Source organism: Homo sapiens, chromosome 4 (assembly GCF_000001405.40).
Source record: "Homo sapiens chromosome 4, GRCh38.p14 Primary Assembly".
NCBI classification, from domain to species: domain Eukaryota; kingdom Metazoa; phylum Chordata; class Mammalia; order Primates; family Hominidae; genus Homo; species Homo sapiens.
Window position 1 is genome coordinate 116,777,552 of NC_000004.12, and position 21,933 is coordinate 116,799,484.

At 35.0% G+C, this 21,933-nt stretch overlaps 1 long non-coding RNA gene across 5 annotated transcripts in view, besides 1 other annotated feature; it reads right to left on the bottom strand.

Annotated features, from left to right (window-relative positions):
• Nucleotides 1-21,933, bottom strand: part of LOC107986306 (uncharacterized) — a 201,750-nt gene that overhangs the window by 26,602 nt on the left and 153,215 nt on the right. Inside the window, exon 1 of one of the 5 annotated variants that reach the window (XR_001741799.1) lies at nucleotides 3,412-3,452. The exons of the other annotated variants lie outside the window; for them this stretch is intronic. This is a non-coding gene — a long non-coding RNA (uncharacterized LOC107986306). Of the gene's footprint in view, nucleotides 1-3,411; nucleotides 3,453-21,933 lie in introns of those variants that run through there. 5 annotated transcript variants of the gene reach the window in all.
• Nucleotides 2,601-3,221: an enhancer, noted in NCBI's record as "NANOG-H3K27ac-H3K4me1 hESC enhancer chr4:117701308-117701928 (GRCh37/hg19 assembly coordinates)". NCBI's record gives its function as "activates a minimal SCP1, AML or CMV promoter by ChIP-STARR-seq in naive and primed H9 embryonic stem cells {active_cell/tissue: H9 hESC(naive and primed)}" and the evidence as "EXISTENCE:reporter gene assay evidence [ECO:0000049][PMID:30033119]".

Below are 21,933 nucleotides of genomic sequence, written 5' to 3' on the forward strand. Positions count from 1 at the left end.
TCATAAAATGAGTTAGGGAGGATTCCCTCTTTTTCTATTGATTGGAATAGTTTCAGAAGGAATGGTACCAGTTCTTCCTTGTACCTCTGTTAGAATTCGGCTGTAAATCCATCTGGTCCTGGACTCTTTTTGGTTGGTAAGCTATTGATTATTGCCACAATTTCAGCTCCTGTTATTGGTATATTCAGAGATTCCACTTCTTCCTGGTTTAGTCTTGGGAGAGTGTATGTGTCAAGGAATTTATCCATTTCTTCTAGATTTTCTAGTTTATTTGTGTAGAGGTGTTTGTAGTATTCTCTGATGGTAGTTTGTATTTCTGTGGGATCGGTGGTGATATCCCCTTTATCATTTTTTATTGCGTCTATTTGATTCTTCTTTTTTTCTTTATTAGTCTTGCTAGCGGTCTATCAATTTTGTTGATCCTTTCAAAAAACCAGCTCCTGGATTCATTAAATTTTTGAAGGGTTTTTTGTGTCTCTATTTCCTTCATTTCTGCTCTGATTTTAGTTATTTCTTGCCTTCTGCTAGCTTTTGAATGTGTTTGCTCTTGCTTTTCTAGTTCTTTTAACTGTGATGTTAGGGTGTCAATTTTGGATCTTTCCTGCTTTCTCTTGTGGGCATTTAGTGCTATAAATTTCCCTCTACACACTGCTTTGAATGCATCCCAGAGATTCTGGTATGTTGTGTCTTTGTTCTCGTTGGTTTCAAAGAACATCTTTATTTCTGCCTTCATTTTGTTATGTACCCAGTAGTCATTCAGGAGCAGGTTGTTCAGTTTCCATGTAGTTGAGCGGTTTTGAGTGAGATTCTTAATCTTGAGTTCTAGTTTGATTGCACTGTGGTCTGAGAGATAGTTTGTTATAATTTCTGTTCTTTTACATTTGCTGAGGAGAGCTTCACTTCCAAGTATGTGGTCAATTTTGGAATAGGTGTGGTGTGGTGCTGAAAAAGATGTATATTCTGTTGATTAGGGGTGGAGAGTTCTGTAGATGTCTATTAGGTCCGCTTGGCTAAGAGCTGAGTTCAATTCCTGGGTATCCTTGTTGACTTTCTGTCTCGTTGATCTGTCTAATGTTGAAAGTGGGGTGTTAAAGTCTCCCATTATTAATGTGTGGGAGTCTAAGTCTCTTTGTAGATCACTCAGGACTTGCTTTATGAATCTGGGTGCTCCTGTATTGGGTGCATATATATTTAGGATAGTTAGCTCTTCTTGTTGAATTGATCCCTTCACCATTATGTAATGGCCTTCTTTGTCTCTTTTGATCTTTGTTGGTTTAAAGTCTGTTTTATCAGAGACTAGGATTGCAACCCCTGCCTTTTTTTGTTTTCCATTTGCTTGGTAGATCTTCCTCCATCCTTGTATTTTGAGCCTATGTGTGTCTCTGCACGTGAGATGGGTTTCCTTAATACAGCACACTGATGGGTCTTGACTCTTTATCCAATTTGCCAGTCTGTGTCTTTTAACTGGAGCATTTAGTCCATTTACATTTAAAGTTAATAGTGTTATGTGTGAATTTGATCCTGTCATTATGATGTTAGCTGGTTATTTTGCTCATTAGTTGATGCAGTTTCTTCCTAGTCTCTATGGTCTTTACATTTTGGCATGATTTTGCAGCAGCTGGTACTGGTTGTTCCTTTCCATGTTTAGCGCTTCCTTCAGGAACTCTTTTAGGGCAGGCCTGGTGGTGACAAAATCTCTCAGCATTTGCTTGTCTGTAAAGGATTTTATTTCTCCTTCACTTATGAAGCTTAAATTGGCTGGATATGAAATTCTGGGTTGAAAATTCTTTTCTTTAAGAATGTTGAATATTGGCCCCCACTCTCTTCTGGCTTGTAGGGTTTCTGCTGAGAGATCTGCTGTTAGTCTGATGGGCTTCCCTTTGAGGGTAACCTGACCTTTCTCTCTGGCTGCCCTTAACATTTTTTCCTTCATTTCAACGTTGGTGGATCTGACAATTACGTGTCTTGGAGTTGCTCTTCTCGAGGAGTATCTTTGTGGCGTTCTCTGTATTTCCTGAATCTGGACGTTGGCCTGCCTTGCTAGATTGGGGAAGTTCTCCTGGATAATATCCTGCAGAGTGTTTTCCAACTTGGTTCCATTCTCCCCATCACTTTCAGGTACACCAATCAGACATAGATTTGGTCTTTTCACATAGTCCCATATTTCTTGGAGGCTTTGCTCTTTCTTTTTATTCTTTTTTCTCTAAACTTCCCTTCTCGCTTCATTTCATTCATTTCATCTTCCATTGCTGATACCCTTTCTTCCAGTTGATCACATGGGCTCCTGAGGCTTCTGCATTCTTCACATAGTTCTCGAGCTTTGGTTTTCAGCTCCATCAGCTCCTTTAAGCACTTCTCTGTATTGGTTATTCTAGTTATACATTCTTCTAAATTTTTTTCGAAGTTTTCAACTTCTTTGCCTTTGGTTTGAATGTCCTCCCTTAGCTCAGAGTAATTTGATCGTCCGAAGCCTTCTCAGCTTGTCAAAGTCATTCTCCGTCCAGCTTTGTTCTGTTGCTGGTGAGGAGCTGCGTTCCTTTGGAGGAGGAGAGGCGCTCTGCTTTTTAGAGTTTCCAGTTTTTCTGTTCTGTTTTTTCCCCATCTTTGTGGTTTTATCTACTTTTGGTCTTTGATGATGGTGATGTACAGATGGGTTTTTGGTGTGGATGTCCTTTGTGTTTGTTAGTTTTCCTTCTAACAGACAGGACCCTCAGCTGCAGGTCTGTTGGAGTACCCTGCAGTGTGAGGTGTCAGTGTGCCCCTGCTGGGGGGTGCCTCCCAGTTAGGCTGCTCGGGGGTCAGAGGTCAGGGACCCACTTGAGGAGGCAGTCTGCCCGTTCTCAGATCTCCAGCTGCGTACTGGGAGAACCACTGCTCTCTTCAAAGCTGTCAGACAGGGACATTTAAGTCTGCAGAGGTTACTGCTGTCTTTTTGTTTGTCTGTGCCCTGCCCCCAGAGATGGAGCCTACAGATGCAGGCAGGCCTCCTTGAGCTGTGGTGGGCTCCACCCAGTTCGAGCTTCCTGGCTGCTTTGTTTACCTTAGCAAGCCTGGGCAATGGTGGGCGCCCCTCCCCCAGCCTCGCTGCCGCCTTGCAGTTTGATCTGAGACTGCTGTGCTAGCAATCAGGGAGACTCCGTGGGCGTAGGACCCTCCCAGCCATGTGCGGGATATAATCTCGTGGTGCGCCGTTTTTTAAGCCCATCGGAAAAGCGCAGTATTCAGGTGGGAGTGACCCGATTTTCCAGGTGCCGTCCGTCACCCCTTTCTTTGATTAGGAAAGGGAACTCCCTGACCCCTTGCGCTTCCCGAGTGATGCAATGCCTCACCCTGCTTCGGCTCGCTCATGGTGCACGCACCCACTGACCTGCGCCCACTGTCTGGCACTCCCTAGTGAGATGAACCCAGTACCTCAGATGGAAATGCAGAAATCACCCGTCTTCTGCGTTGCTCAGGCTGGGGGCTGTAGACCGGAGCTGTTCCTATTTGGCCATCTTGGCTCCTAAAAAAATACATTCCTTAATGCTGCTTTTTAAAAAAACTGCTGCTTTTTAAACTTGTTTTTTAAAAAACAAAAAATTTTGTTTGTTAAACTTAACTTTCTCCTAGAATTTTGAAGTTTTAATACCTATAATATTGTCTCTATTTCTGTCCATCTACTGGTAAATTGAATGACAATAAAATAAATTTAATGTTTTTATCAAATAATCTCAGCAGGAATGTTTGTTTTCTTAAGGTATGGTTTGCTGCAATCAAACAAAATGTAAGTAATATAATTTCTTTTGTCAAATTAAAATAGAAAATGATCAATATTTAGGAAATATTTAATGCACTCACATATGTAGTATGACCAAAATTAAAAGGGAGTTTTATGATTTACTGTATGGCTTCCAAATGTAGGATGCAAGTGGCCAATTCTCACAGTAGGTCATTTACTCAAAACAGTCTGAAATTATTAAACTAAAACTCCTGAAAAGACAGTTAAGTGTATTCTAAATATCACCTGCACCCACCCCACTACACACACACCAAAATAAGAAACCTTAGTTTGTGTTTAAACTTTGACATGACTCGATAAGAAATTTGTCTCAGTCATTTAAATATTCAAGTTTAATGCTTAGTGTGGGACAGGATATTATTATCCTCATCCTCCTCTGTCACTTCCTATGACTCTATCACCATCATCTGTAAGAGTTACATCATCTCTTACCTTGGGAAAAACCAAGCAAATATGTATTATGATTTGCACTTTATGCACAAGATATCGCAGAGAGATTATGCTATTATATTTTCCTCAGATAGAACATATTCATAAGAGAATGCACATAAGATTTACAAGATAAGCAAGTTTTGACCAAGCGAGGTTTCCTTGGGGCAGCAGAAGGGAGAGAGAAGAACACTTTTTTACGGCCACAATCGTTTAAGAAAAAAGAGAAAAGAAAATAAGCCAGGCAGCTGGGCGCGGTGGCTTACGCCTGTAATCCCAGCACTTTGGGAGTCTGAGGCGGGCGGATCACGAGGTCAGGAGATCGAGACCATCCTTGCTAACACGGTGAAACCCCGTCTCTACTAAAAATACAAAAAATTAGCCAGGCTTCGTGGCGGGCGCCTGTAGTCCCAGCTACTTGGGAGGCTGAGGCAGGAGAATGGTGTGAACCCGGCAGGAGGAGCTTGCAGTGAGCCGAGATCGCGCCACTGCACTCCAGCCTGGGCGACAGAGCGAGACTCCATCTCAAAAAAAAAAAAAAAAAAGAAAAGAAAAAAAAAGAAAAAGAAAACTAAATAAGCCAGGCAAATAGCTTATACGACAGTGAGAAGCATGGTTATTGAGCTCTGGCTAGCTTTAATTAGTCCCATTAGGGATGGATATGCGGGAGGGAGAGAAGGGACTCCAAATCTTCTTGCAGAATTGCCCTATACCATGGAGTCCAAAAGGAAGCATACCAGATCTTCAGAAGACCTAGGACTGGGCACTCATGTCCACTACCTTGAGAATGTCCCAGAGCATGAGTAAATTTGATTATTTTTCCTCAGGGTATTTTTCTTCAGGACAAGGGCAGCCATTTGCTACAAACACATGTTATCAGAAATTACATCTGCTTTTATCTCAGACCTAGACTTCTCAGAGAATGTGTTATCAAGGCCTTTTAGAAAGGTTCCAAGGACATTAGATAGGACATGTATTATTATCTAAGATACAAATAATATGACTGGGTCTGAATAAAATATCCACACAAAAGCTAAAGATTATCTAAAAATATAAGGCTCATTCTTTTAAAATGATTTTAAAATGTAATAATGTATCTAATTCTGGCTTGGTTGAATTTGGATATTATAACAGTGACCCACATGGTGGCCTATGGTGTGACCAGCATTGCCATGGTCCTCACTAGCTTGGAGAAACATGTTGCACAGCATACATTTGGTAACCAGAATAGAGGTCTAAAAGCATTTGTTTCATGAGACACAATCTCTCTGCCATAATTAGACTTAGCTAACTGACATCATCTGACTGCAAAGAAGTAGCCTATACATATCTCCTCTTTCCTTTCTGTCCCACAGATGAAATGTGCTTTTTATTTGCTATATCCAAGTTTAGAATAAATCCAGTAAGTGTATTGTATATGAGCAACAAAATGAAGGCCAATGGCTGGAGTGTAGCAGAGAAGAACAATGAGGCAGGTCAAACCCGATCAGGGTACGTTGTCCCTGGTAAGGAGTTGGAATGGTTTTCTACGTCTAACATGGATTCTTAGCTAAGATATGATACTTTTACTGGGCTTTTGAATATAAGCACTAAATGACTTTCTTTGGAAAAATGCAACCTAGAGGAATATCACAAGAATTGTTTTTTCAGATTCTTATGATAAAGTGCTGTCTTTAAATAGAAAATATTTTTATTATTACCATGAACTTTGTACTGAAAGTAAAACATAGCACTGAGAGAGAGGGGTTTTTCTTTGGCATTGTCAAATCAAAATAATGACTCTTGTTATAAAAAGGAGGTTGTTGTAAAACTTCAGAAAGTTGCAATTTTATAGGATTTGTATAACATTTTGAAGGTTGAAACATATTAAAAAATCATATAATGTATCATAAATCCACCAGCTAGCTGAAAATTAGTCATAATAAACTCACAATAAGGGAATTTGTTCCCTCCTTATCATGCAAACTGATAAAGCTTACATGCTTGGCTTAGGACACAAATTTTGTGCCAACAACGATTCCCTGTTACCTGTGAATAAGAATGAATCTCCTGTATAATTCAAGCAAAGACATTTGCCATATTAAAATCCAGCAGGAAATACTGACTATGTTAGGTTTCATCTACATCTATTTATACATATATTCATTTATTCTCTATGATTTTAAAAAGAATCTATTGTGTGTAATGCAGTGTATAAGATCACTGAAACAGGTAGACATAATATAGATTTGGGATAACACCACCTAGATAACATCACCTAGATATATCTAGATATATCTAGAATATATCTAGCTAACTAGCTATGTAAACTGACCTGTGACTTTCAAAGACTAAAAAATTGCTTCACTAACAATGTATGGGGTTAATCCATACTTTATTACTGGGATCTGTGATTGACACTCATCTTAAAAGATATATTCTTTCCATAGATGCATGATTCATAAGGCATCTTAAATATAGGCAGCTATATGGTTGAAAATTTGTTTACACTGGTAAATTAAAAAGTGGTGCGTATTATACCTTTCTTATGCTATGTATTAGTGTCAGAGTTACAGAATATATATCAATTAGCTGAGTTTATTAAATTCTGGTTTTAGTCCAGTTGAGGATTAGATAAAGAATGTCCATAAACAGTTTAATAAAAGAGCATGTAATAACAAGAAAACTCACAATATTTTAAGGCTCATAAAACGGAAAAATAAAAAATAAGCACTGAATATGTCTTTTTCAGGAGAAAGGAGGCTATAAAGTCATATATTTTTGTATATATAATGAACTCTTAGCTCTTTATTTTCTCAGGGCTGAATCCTTAGCAAACATGTACATTTTCTATCTATCTATTGACAAACAACGCACACACAATATATATTTATATATATATATGAAAATATATTTGCAAGTTTGCAATCCTGAGTGTCACAATCTATAAACATTACCAAACCACCACCACTCCTTATGCCACCAAAGTAAGAACACAATTAATAGAGGAAATGGAAGAAACATTTCATATATATATATAAAATCATGTGCTCCAAATTCCAGGAAGATAATTTTTACTGAGAAATTAGAAACTGAGCCTCTATTTGCAATGGCAGAAAAAAACTCATAAAGATTAAATATGTGGTTTATAGTTGTACTAAGAATCTCCTGGTATAAAACAAATACATGGTATGCATTCAACCACTATGTTTGTTACATTAGGCTAGACACTGCAGGCATAGAGCCAATTAAGAAACAGGCTTTGCCCTCAAGACACTTATAGTCTATAAAGTAGTTTTAAAACAGTGCAGTTTCCTGGAGCAGTTGTGTAACTTTCTACTTTCTTCTGAAAATAAAACCTGGCAGTTTTCAAGGGAAAGCACTCTGTTCACTAGTTTTGCATATTTCATTTGAGGGGGATTGCCATCTTCTTTCATATTTCTAGATACAGCATTCATTTTCTTAATGCAATAAATGTGTAACATACACTGAACCATGGAAATTGATTGAAAGGTAAATGTATGTGAACTAAGTTAATCTAATTTGAGTGAAGCTAAAAATATTTGATTATAGTTGAAGGTACAGATTCTATCTCCCCTTCTAGGCATGATAGTATAGGCTGGGAAATTTAAGCTTCCATGGCTATGACAATAGGATTGTATCTGTTAAGAAATCAGAAAGATGCCAGCTCTAAGAATGTAGAAGTGATAATGACCTTGGTGTTATAAAGCGAGTCCAACTTTTTGTCCCTCATAATGACATTGAGCTTCCCCAACAATATTCATTCCTTGAACAAATAAATTTTTGTTATAAGTGAACAGATTGGTTTCTTGCATGGAAGTCCAAAAATTACTGAATGATAAAATAATAAATAAAATTTTAGCAGCTTGTAGACAGCCAAGTTTAGACATGCATAAAATAGGTATATGAGTGGCCACAAAAATAGTAAAGAGTGGATCAGTGAGCAAATAGACAAATATGTGCTGATATATAATAAACCGAAAATGTAAATGGAAAGAAAACTCTGTTTAAAAGGAAATGTAGGGTGATAATTTTTAGATTTGTTTTTCTAAATATCATAACATGAAAATATAATTCAAATGGTAATGAGATTCATAAAAATTAGAATTCCTACCAATGATGCAATAACTATAAGAGGTACAAGGAATAATAGGAGATAAAAAATAAACAAGAAATATTCCATGCACAAGAAGATGTACTAAAGAATGTAAGACAAGTGTACTATGGCAAGATATTGTATTATCAGTGTTACAAGAGAAGTACGAAAATATTGTAGAAATTCAAATTTGAAAACGGGAATGTGAACAAGAGATAAGCAATATTTCAAAACTCTAACGGGAATATGTAGACATTTAACGATTATGTTTAACGAAAGTCCGTGGTACACAGAGGAGTACTGTGGAAATTTAAAAAGGTTATTTGCAGCTGTGTTTTGAGGTTACTAAGCTGAGGTGTTTATATATAGGCGACATCAGTTTTTTTTTTTTTTTTTTTTAAGCAAAGGAGGGGTATGAGGAGGACCAATCCTTAAGAAAGTTTAAATATGAGAGTTTTTAGGTGCTTGGACAAATTCTAAGATAAGATATGCTCATATGGTTATCTAAAGCAACAACTCTTGGGACATGTGTGTGTGTGTGTGTGTGTGTGTGTGTGTGTGTGTGTGTGTGTGCATGCACATGCCCATGTATATGTATTTATTTCTGAGAGCCATTACCTTTCATAAGGATGAAATTTTGCCTATGGTTAAAGTACATAAAATAAAAGATAATAGCAAAGTGGTGTTGCAGAGGAAACCAACCTTGAAGAGGTATATAGAAAAAAAAGACACTGTAAAATGAAAAATACCAAAATCTCAGAAGAAAACAGAGGATAGAGATGCTTCCAGCAGGAGATTTTGACCAACATTTTTTTTATTTTAAAAGAAGGGATAATTAATGAGTTCATATAAATGGCTATAAATATGATTCTTAACATACTAGGTAACAAACTACCTAAATAAAAACTAAAATCCCATTCCTACAACTATATAAGAAAGTGCATAAAAACTCTAGTGAGTATATAGCAAATATTACCATGAACTAAGATAATAATGGTAATTTATTCACTTATAGAATCTCCTCTGCTAGGATGTTAGGAAAATAAAACAAAAATGTTAATGGTTCTAAAATTCATCAAATCAGTGTTATACTTGATGCAAAGTATGACATGGATAAAGTATAATATTTAAAGCAAGTAGTCTGTACTCTGATTATTAGTTCAAGTGGAATGCTTGTCACTGTCCGAACAGGTTTGCTGAAGAAGCTAGTTGTGTCTCAAATAGGGAAAGAAAATTATATATATATATATATGTATATTATATATATAAAATGTATATATATATCATATATATTTTATATATATATCAAATAGGGAATATATATGTTCCTATATATGTTCTTTTTACATACATATGAGGTCTTATGACTACTTGTTGTAGATGAATGAATGAATTCTTTAAAATTAATTTTGAAAAGGAAACAAGCATTAATAATTACTTTGAACTTGAATGATTAACTACCATTCCAGAAAAATTTTGATCTGACAGTTTTAGTTAGAAAAATGTTATTCTCATAAAAGCAGGAAAATTTGTTATACCAACATATATTTCTGAATACTTCATTTAGTTTATATTATTAGAAAATGTTTCTGTAGAACTCCCCCCCAAAATTGTTATTATTTATTCTTGACCAATGAAAACTGTTAATTAGTTGAAAATATTTAATCCTTATATGTTTTTGGATACCACTGAAACAATTATTAGAACACAATTAATTTTAAGTGTTATGGTTTGTCAATATATTTACAAATCTGTAGAGTCTGATTAATTGATCTTATTTGAAACAAGTTTTTTAAATTAATGTTAGTTGTCTCATTTAAACAAGAAAATTTCTCTTACTGAATTTTCCAATGGCTTCTTTGTTAATAATCTCTGGATGACATTAACAGAACTGACCTTCAGGGAATGGCATTCAGAGAATATTAATTAGAAAAAAACTTGCTTACAATTCCATTAATATTTAGTGAATATTGATAAGATTGTATAATGGGTCATCAGATAATTTTGAAGATGAAATTAAGCAAGCATTTACAGTAAACACATTAATTATTAAAATAATACAGTAGATGAAAAAGGGAATTATTATTTAATGGTTACAGAGTTTCTGGGGTGATGAAAAAGTTTTATAAATGGAGATAATGGTTGTAGAACACTGTGAATGTATATTTACAAATGATTAAAATGGCAGAAGTTGTGTTGTACATATTTTCCACAATAAAAAATTATTTACAAAAATAATACAATAGGAACAAAGCAATGGGGGTGGGAAATGTTCTTATAATTTGAAAATTGACTGTTAGAGAACAGGAATACAATGTAGTCTTTAAGTATAAATGAACTAAAATTCACTTTGCAGTGATAAAAAACCCACCTATGAGTGAACATAGGAAACACTTCTTTGTAAGAATGCCAACCTTAGTATGTGTATGTGTAATGAGAAATATTGTGGAGGACATCTTTTGAAAATACAATAAATATTTGCCACAATTAATATAACTTCACATTATTGCTGAAAAATGTAGAGGTCTAGTTAGAACATTAAAGCCAAGTAACTTTCCAATTTAGACAAAACCATGAGTTGTCATCAATCTCTATCCACTGATATTTTTGGATGACACATAATAGCAATGGCGTATGTTATGGTTTGAATGCCTGACCCCTCCCAAACTCATGTTGGAAATGAATTGCCATTGTAAGACTGGTAAGAAGCAGCCTATGACTTAGGCAGGCCCAGGTGCACCCTGTGTGGCAGCACCACAGGGCACAAGCACTAAGCTTTGGTGGAGTCCATTTGGTGCTAATTATGCAGGTACAAAGAGTTTGTAAGCTGTAGGGCCAGGGTGGCCTCCACCTAGATTTTAAAGAGTGTATTGGACAGCCTGGGGGCCCAGGCAAAAATCTGCCACAAGGGCAGAACCACCACAGGGAATTTTCATTTTGGCAATGCTTAGTGGAGCCAAAAAGAGTGTGGCTGTTGCTGAGACCTCAGAACTCTTAGACACCAGTGTGCAGCCCCAGCCTGAGAGCTGGAGGCACAAGACTCTGACCAATGAGAACTGCTGCATAGGCTAAGCCCAGCTAAGTTGTGGTTTGCAGGAGGCCCAAGCCCTTGAGGGCCTAACTCCTAGCTCAAAATGCCCAGAAGGTGGGGTATGGAGTCAAAGGAGATTATTACGGAGCCTATGTAACAAACCTGTACGTTGTGCACATGTACCCTATAACTTAAAGTATTAAAAAAAAAAAAATTCAATGCTGTTCTCCCTATTAGATTTTGAAGATACTTGGAATCAGATACCCCTCTTTTCTTGTCTACTTCTTCCTTTTGGAATGGAAATGCCCATCTTATGCCACCATTGTATTTTGGAAGCATATAACTTGTCTAGTTTCACCGGCTCAGAGCTGACAAGAAGTTTCTCTCAGGATTAATCATGCGTTGAATCTCACTCATCTCTGATTTAGATGAGACTGGAATTTGGAGTTGATGTTAGAATGAAATAAGACTTTTTTGGATATTGGAATGGACTAAATGTATTTTGTACACGAGAAGAATGTTAGTTTTGGGGGCCAGGGACAGAATGCTATGGTTTGAATACTTGTTCCCTTCCAAACTCTTATTGAAATTTAATTGCCATTTTAGCAGCATTAAGGAGTGGTAACTTTAAGAGATGATTACACCATAAAAGTTCTGCCTTTATGAATAAATTAATGCTATTATTATGGAAGTGTGTTTCTTATAAAAGGATGAGTTCAGTCTCTTTTGTGTCTCTTTCACCATCTCTGTGCCTTCCATTATGGGATGTCTTCTGCCATGGGATGACACAGCAAGATGATCCTTGCCAAATGTTGGCATCTTTATCTTGGACTTTCCAATCTCCAGAACTATAAGAAATAAATTTCAGTTCTATCTAAATTATCTGGCGTATGGCATTCTATAAAAGCAGCACAAGACAGACTAAGATATTATACAATGTGGATAAGCAATAGCACATACATATTGAACCAAACGTATAGTTTTTCCATGATATAAAACCAATGACTTACTGATTGTATAAAAATAATACACATCTAGAGGAAATAAAATGCATTATTTTTCTGTTTCTAAAATTCTATGCTATACAAAGTGTATTTTATTTTAATAATAATTGTTTGTCTTGTTATTATGTAGATTTTTAAAGAGTTTTTGGAACACTATTTGTAGAGAACGAAGCATACACCAGTAAAATGAAACAGTGCTTTCTTCAGGGAACAATTGTTAGTCAAAATTTAGCCTCCTGGTCTTGAATTAGTATTGAATTAAACAGTGAATATAAAGATGCTGATGCTATTTTATTAACAAGATTGATAATTCACCAATTTTCGAGAAGAAAGATGAGAACTACCAGAAGTTAGAGAAATAATATACTACGTTATGCATTACATGTTGTAATGACACCGTTAATGGCAATATATTTTTGTGATTGCATGTGGCTCGCTCAACTATTGTATGTCAGTAATGTAGTCAGGATTTGAATACTCTCAACATATAACTTTGTAGCCAAAATATGATATTTTTGTGATTGAGGATAATTCCTTAAATAATGATCATGGTATTAAATTGTTCATATACTAAGAATTTAAGTATGGCTCCCAAATGCTTGATGATTTGTTTTAATCCATGAGGAAGGGAAATTGATGGTGTGTGGTGTTTATTTTAACAAACAATTCCAAATGTTTCAGTTGATACCGAAATACATTGCAGAGCCTAATTTAGGAAAATAGTACAACAATTCACTTACTACTGCCTCTCAAGATGACAAATGCAATGTTTCAACTTATGTGAGTAATAAGTTTGTTAATTTAGCTTCTAAATGTGTTGTTAAAAGTAGTCTTCAAAGAGAAATTTCTCTGTAATTTCTGGATCCATATTCATTTGCTGAAATTTAAATAAGGCCAACATTCTTATTGTTTATAGTCATAAATTAGAACATTCTAATGGAAATAATTGTCAAGAAAATAAAGGTAATGGCTGCGGAGCCTTATTTTTTTAAATATCAAAATCATATTGAATTGTCTATCTAAGGATTATAAGCAACACTATCCCTCTTACTGATATGACTTGGTAGGTTTCATTGTATTGCAGCTGATGTCAATCTTTATAAAATTAGTAGCCTATGGGCAAATGAATTCTAATTAAGTACTCTGTAGATGCCAAAAGCTAGTAAAATAATCTACGATTGTTCAAGTTCATTACCTGAAAATAGTACCATTCATATTTTATCTTTGCAAAAGGATGACTTATATTTTGGCATATAATACCTTTTAAATAAATTTACTTGCAGTGAATCTAATTGAATTGACTAGAAATCTAATAAGGTAATGAAAGAGTGGAACATTTTTCAAAAGGAGCAAATTAAAGACTACACTTCAGTGAAATAAAATATGAATTGCCATAGATGAGAGATTAGAGTCTCTAATAATGCATGCAAAAGTAAAGAAAGCCTTCAATTTGCTTTAGGCAAAGTTGCTAGATGTATTTAAGTGTCAAATTGAAGCAGAAGTGGAAAAACAAGGAATGGAATTACTTGTTGGAAACACATAAGCTCTAGAAGTTTAGATGTTTCCCAAAGGGTTATTTCTGTATACAGGAAATGTCATAGGTTAGAAGCAAACATTTTTACTTTTAAAAATGTATCCAGGCATTTAAATTACATAGTAAAGACCCTCACTGCTGGTGAGTGAGTATCATCAGCTCAATATAGATGGTTGGCAGATAATGACTTTGAAATGCTCATACCCACATTTGACCAAGGCATTAACCCAGCATATCACTTTTTCTGTCTAGTCCTTAGTTGTTCACCTAATGATGACAGACCACCAGAAGACACTGATTATTTTCTTCATTATCAGGAGGGATGCTGAATGAAACATCCAAAACTTTTATCCAACTCTGAATTGGTCATTAAGATAAATATTTTAATGGCCTACTTGAATAAAGAACGGGAATAATTTAGAAATATGTTTTTAAAAATTTTAAGTGATATATACTATCTTATAAATACAATGCTAATTAAATTGCATAAAAATAAAATATAGCAGTATAATTACTTATAACTGTAACATAAAAAACTAAAAGTTTTGTAATTTCTTAAATTTAATATTAAATTCCAAAAGAGTTCACCACAAAACAAAGTGAAACACAAAGGTGGATGAATATAATTTGTAATAATATCCATACATCTTATATTCAGTCTCATTCTCCCCACACATTCTCACAAATCAAACAAATGAATAAAAAATGTTAACAAAATAAACTCTACTAAAGCCGAGTCAGAACAAAAATTTTGCCTAAATCTATGAAGTTAGCAAACTTGGGTGTAAATCCAGGTTGTCTGACTTTAAAATCATGTTCGTCATATATGAACCTAACTCAATTTTTAGTCCAACAATATTTAAATGTTTGATATGTACTTTATATTTTAACATACTTGAGAAATGTATAACTGCACCAGGAATATCTAACTTTCCTCATATGTGTATCTTTGGATATGGCCTATTCAAAATGCTAAACCAGAAGACTGATTAATTGTCTGTAATATACAAATTTGAGGACTTACATTTATGGAATTTTAGACAACTCATAAAAAAACTGACAGAAAAAAAAGGTTAGGAATGGATAATTCATACTTACAAATATATCCAAATGGCTAGAGCGCATGTGATTAGATACTCTGATGAAAATTAAAGGGAAGTGGGATATTACTTATTCCTCATGTATATCAGGATGTTTCAAAGAAGTGTTTGTGAGGTGGAGGTAGAGATGTTTTTGTAGAAATATGTATGGCAGCACATAATTCCTACTAATTTGTCTCTTAACTATTTAATTTAGCAGATAAGTATATGAAATATACACATTATTTTATAGTTTGTACCTAGACATCATTCATTGCATGACTCTCTCTTTAAAGGCATAAATGACTGTAACCCCTGGGAGCCTTCACTTGAGAGGTAAAGCACTTCATCCTAATATACAAAGAACAGTTGAAGCCTGCCTAATATAAAGGACAGCCAAATTTTCATTCATTTAACCTATAAATACAACGGGCTTTCCCATGCAACTGTGAACTATTTGAAAGAACATATTTTTACTGTAGCTGACGTGAGAAAATAAGAAGCAAAAGAAATAAGATATTTCTGAGCTTTCTCAAAAGGAGTATTTCAGAAACTATTTACTTTTTGCTTTAAAGCTTAGTTTGGATTTAAACTTCTCAAATGAAAATCGAAACTGAGAGGAGACTAATTTTATGCTTCTTTGAAAAATGTTGCCAATGATAGTTATAACTTTTTGAAAAACGTGTAGATGCTTGAAATTGAATGGCCGTTTATTATACTCTACCTTGAAGGAGTTCAAAATTTGGGACTAAATTTCATTGTTTCAGTTTAAATTCCAGAAATCTGTTTTTAAATGATATTATCTTAATTTCACAAAAATAAATATGGATTTAGCTTGTAACCTCAAATTATTTACTGATCAATTATTGAATATCATTCATTACAGTAAAATTTTAGTCATTGTCCCACATTTGTGTTCAAGGTTACAAGGTATTCTTTTTTTATGAAACTTCAGTTATTAAAATTATCAAGTTAAATCCACTTAAACTTTTAAAGAAAATCATAACTCAAAAACTGAAACTCTTGATACTGCATTAATAACAAAATTTTAGGTGTCTGAGTTTTTATTTAATGTATTCTCATAATAGCATTTGGATACTGATATGGCTCCTAAATATTGGTCCCCCTGGAATTAAAAATATGCACTTTGGGTAAAGTTCAAATGTGCTAATGACCAAGAATATTCTATGCACTTTGGGACATGTTGCGCCATCCATTGATGCAGATTTTTCCCTACCACTTCCCTACCACATTCTAAATTTTTGAACCAATTACTTCCTGTGTCTTCAGAATTTTATTTCTCTCTCTTTGGTTCTCTTTTTAAGGTCCTCTGCCAGCTGCTCACCATCTTCCCATTTCATAAGTGTTTGTGGTCTGGTATGATTAATTGTGTCTTCTTTTCTTGAAATTACTGATGGACCTCTTCTAACATATACTTCTTTTTACAGGATTAATCATGTTCTATGTGGTGATTATTCTCTAACTTACATCTCCAGTGCACCTTGCTTTCCAGAACCCCAGACCCTAGAGCCTAAGCATATCTACACTAGAAATCCATAGGTAAAATAGGCAAATATCTAAACTGCATAAGTTTATTTGTGTGTTTTCTCAACCCTGGCCCCTTCTGTTTCTTAGTAATGTGAATTGATTCACATGCAGCCAAAGCTACTAGTGTTGGTATTACATTTGACCCCGTTTTTTTCCTCAGGCCCAATATCTAAACAATATTTACCAAGTACTGTAAATTACATATCTGTGGAGTTATTTTGATAAATACTACCACTGCTATAGTCCGTATTCTATGTCTGTACCCTTTTATTAATAGCAGAATGCAGTAGGAGAAAAGCATGAAGCCACACTAAAGAATTTTGTCTTAAATTCATGGCTACAAACATTAAATGGACCTTTTAAACTGTGCAGCATCCATAGAAGAACTTGTCAGTCCTCAAACCATACCACCCTCTTATGTGGTTATTTTATACTTTCTCCTCTCTCCTCAAACCACATCAACTGCTCCAGCTCTGTTATTACCTGATGGCTTTGCTTCCCACTTCATTAAGAATGTTGCATCCACGAAATCTTGCAGACTCTCATAACCACAACCATCCAATTACCAACATAGGCAAACACTACCTCTGCCTTTGACCTTGGATGAAATTTCCATGATGTGGTGATAAAATATCTCTTCTTGTGAATGAGACCCAATCCTTTCTTGTCTGCCTAAACATATTACTTTGAAATTTCTCTACTCTCTTGTCTACAATATCAAATTTTCACTCTCTACCCTATCACCCCATCATTTTCGTGCAAGCATGTAAGTTTCTCCTGATAATCTTCTGTCAATTACTGTCCATTTTTTTCTGGCTACACTAGATAGCAAAACTTTGTGGGTGAGTCCTTTATACTCTCTGCCTCACATTCCACTCCTCCCATGCCTTCTGAAACCCAATTTACTTCATCATTCTATAAAAACTTCTCTTTTCAAGGGCAGCAATAACCTCTATTTTGGAAAATTCAATAGTCAATTTTCAGTTCACATATTGTTTGAGCTAAAAGCAGCACTCCCTCCTCTTTGATCCATTTCTCCACGTGGCTTCACTTTGTCTAACTGTTCACTCTATCTCAGTCTCATTTATGGATTCTCCCCTTCTCCCAGCTTTTTAGTGCTTTTGTGCATATTGTTTTGAAAATATATGTATAGTTTTTTTCTAATCTGCTAATATGATAAGGCATTTCCATGTAGCATGCTGTGATGATTTATCTGTATAATTAACATGTTCAAAGTGACATAGCCATTTATTAGATGAAAACCTGTCTAAGTTAATGAAGAATTTAAAAACTAAATGTTGTCTTAGAAAAGGAATTCCTGTGACTTTCTCTCATTGCCCTAAATAACAAGCTGAACATGTAGCATTGTAATCATGGAATCTTTTGAATTCCCTCCATTTACACATCAAAGTCTTTCAACAAAATAGATAGCATGGTGAAAATGAAAACAAATTTTTTTCAGTATAGACTGGAATTTTTTCATAAATTAGAGTTTGAATACCTTGCTTTTTCTCACCAAGTTTTTCAAAGCTTCTTCAACAATAAAATAATGTTCTCAGAATGTTTTCATTGTACCCACTCCTAACGTGCTATTTCTGTATGCCACTGAACATCATTTAATGGGTATTTATATACTTTTATTTAAAAATGTATTTCTTCTTGATATTTATATTTGAAGATAAAACATAAAATTTATTCAGTTCACTAGTCTTCATGATATTATTCAGAGATATGTTCTACCCATAAAAATTTGAGGTAAATATTTCTCAATATTTCAACAAGTCACTGCTAAAATGCTGAGACGTTCTGTTTGCAATGCAATTCCTGATGCTTGTCAGACTTAATAAATCCCCATTAGTTAAGAATACAGCACTTGGTGAAATTGTTTCCATTTGCAAAAGTCTTTCAGGAAATGTAAAATATTTCAGTCATTTTGGCTATTTTCAGTTATCTCGGCTAACATTCTCTGAGAAAAGGGATTCATTAAGACATTTGACTGGATTTTCGTATTCTTTATTTGCAAGATCTAACCTATAAATCTTATACCTGCAATCTCCAGATACTTTTCATATAATGCAGAAACCTAGTACTTCCCGAGATTTTGCAGCAACTCCATAGGGCACTTTTACAGAAATCCTCTAATGAGGAGCTTCCTGGTGGTGAGTTGCTGGTGATGCAACAGACTGCACCTCACACACCTCAGAGCACCACACTCAGCAGGCAAAGCCTCTGGACCACACCTGCCCTTCCATTTCCTCCCTGCCTTTTAAAGGTGACTACTGACAGAGGAACCCTGGATATCTCTGATCTTTTAATGCTGAAGTGTCTTTTGTCTCAGTCTTTTTTTCCCTTTATTTCCTTAGTTAATCTCATCCAGTCCCATAGCTTTAATACGTGTGCTGACAAAACTCCCAAATTTATATCTCTGCCAAGATGCCTCACTAGAACTACATACTCATATCAAACTGACTACTTGACATGTCTTACAATGTGAAGTGACATCCAAATTTATCATATACAAAAGTAACCCCAAGTTTTTTCCCCAAAACTTATCCACATGCCACCGTACTGATTTGGGATTACAATTTATTTGGTATCAGCAATTTTTCAGTTGCCCAGGCAATGGGGGCCATCCTTGACTATTGTGTGTCATACCATTGTCCAATACATCAGAAATTCCTGATGTCTCTAACTTGAAAATATATGTGTTATTTAATCATTGTTAATTACCTCTGTTGTTATCACTCTGCATCTACTCTGACAGGGGTCAGTATAATAGCTTCTTAACCAGGCTTTCTGCTGCTACACCTGCCTTCTTACAGTTTTTTTCCCCCCTCAAAATAGTACTCAGTGATTCTTTTAAAGTAAATGTTTAAAAGAGTACACACTATGTTACTCCTGGGCTTAAAATTCTGCAATGAGGTCCTTTTGTACCAAGAGCAAAAGGTGAAGTCTTTGCAGGGGGCTACAAAGTCTTATCTTTCTCCTCCACTTGCTCCCCCACCACCAGGCTCCTGCTTGTTGTTCCTTGAACAATCTAGGCACGCTCACTCCCTGTGACTTTGCTCTGGCTGCTCGTTAGTTTTTTTTTGACAGTGCTTGTGGCTTTCCAACAGAATATGTAATGTATCATTTTATTATATTTATTTTCCTGTTACTGGAATGTAAGCTAAAAGAAAGCAAGGTTTTCTATGTGTTTTTCTCACTTATATGACTACCTAGAACTTCACAAAGATGTGTGGAATGATTAAATAGACTATATTATATAGTATCTGCTTATGTCTAATAATCTTTCACTTGAAAAACTATAGAATTTGCAACGATAGTGATATTTATAAAATACAAATCTGAAGATATTAGACTCTTTCTAAAAATATATTAATTATTTTCATCACCCGCCTTTAGGATAAAAATCAAATTTGAACTTGGGTTAAACAGTTCTTCAAGTCTGCTCTTGCCTCACTTCCCCAATATTATCTTTTATTATTCTCCATCACAAACTAAATAAATATACAGAATATTATTTTATTTCTTCCAGGTCACTAAGGTTTCTACTAATTCTAGGCCTTTGTACTAGCTGTTCACTTTTTCTACTACCTCTTCTGTTTTCCCTAGCGAGTTTTTCCTCATTCCTTATGTCAGAATGTGGAAGTTACCTCCAGGAAGTCCTTCCTACTCCAACAGATGAGGTGTCCTTCCTAAGTGCTCCAAGAGAGTCTTCTCTGTTGATGCAATGAATAATTGCATGTGGCATTGTGCTAATATTGTTTACTTGGCTCTCACCTCTCCTAGAACTAAGCTCTGTGAGAGCAGAGACTCCAGATACCATTATCTATGCTGTATCCCGATTGTTTAGCATAGTTACCTTAACATTTAAGGCTCTAACTAATATTCCCTGAAAAAAATAAGTAATTGCATCAATAAATAAACCATCAATGAGCACACAAGTCTGCCACCATGGGTTTCTGCATTTTAATTGTGCTCATGTAGCACACAATCAGGCAGCTTGCAGGAAAATGCCAAGGTGATAGGATTCTTACCGAGTAGACTGTAAACACACTATGACCCAGCATCTTGCTATATTTACATTAGCAGAATATTTTGTATAATTTTTGTTACTCTACATAGAATATTGATTTTGACTTGCCAACAGAATATATAATGTATCATTACATGTTTTTAATTGTATTGTTGTATCAAAGACATGCTTTTAATTAGGGGTATGTAACTCATTTAACAGAAAAGCAAAAGTTATTTCAATTGCTTTTTTGAAGTGTTATTACATCGTGTGTAAACATTAACTAAAATTTGATTACAAATTCTATTATAACTTCGATTTAATTTTTTAATAAAAATTTTAAGTATTCTTTAAAAATGTTTTTTTTTCAAATATGACTCGTTTATTTTATGGCATTTGTGTTGTGTTGCTTCAGGCAATACTGTGTGGTGAGTCCAAACATCATCGACTCTGGAGTCACATTCTCTGGATTAGAAATTGCTTCTTATCAGCCCCATGGCCTTGAACAATATGCATACAATCCTTGTGTGTTCATTCTTCATCCAAGAAATGCAAGTGATGACAGTACCTACTTCATGAAGTTGACATTAATATTGAATATATTCATACAATGTATACATAGCAAGCATGGAATGAGTGTTGACTATTATAAATGTTACTTATATTTCAATTAGATTTATAAAACATATTGGCTTTTGGTATGGAGAGTGCAAGAGTAGTGAAATATTAATGTGCATGCCTCAGGATGTTTTAAATAATCAATGATTTTAACAATGCCTTGTGAATACTTATTCTTATAACTATTCTTGGAAATACTTTAATAAAACAAGGAAATGATGTTAGAGAAAGGAAATTTAGTCATTTCCAACTGGGAATTCGTGACCGGGGCCATTTCTATACTAACTTTGAAGAAGAAATTAACCAAATTGAGATTCTCCTTAGATTCTGAAAGTGAGAACCCCCTGAGGGACAAAGCACAAATTCCTTCACTGAGAGACCAGATACCATCTCTTTATCCCTCCCTGGATGAAGACCAAGGACTGTGGCCTCTCCAGGTGGCTGAGATTTTTTATAGAAGAGTCCATGGCACCATGACCACTCTTTCAATCTCCAGAAGCCAATTTGGCCTTCTCTTAAGACTTTTCCTATCAGTTATTAAAAAAATAATAATAATACAGACCTACACCCCCACCCCGCATCCACACACATACACACACACAGGGATTGCTGGGTTCATTATTTTGACTGATTTTACTGCTTAGTATTTAAGGTGAATGGTCTCATACAGGTTAGGATAATGCTTTAAAATCTTAGAGATTGTTGAAAGGAATTAATTTTTATTCACCAGTGAATGAAAGCTATCTTTTGTACATTCATTATATGTATCTTCCTCATTTTAAAACAACATGAAGTTCT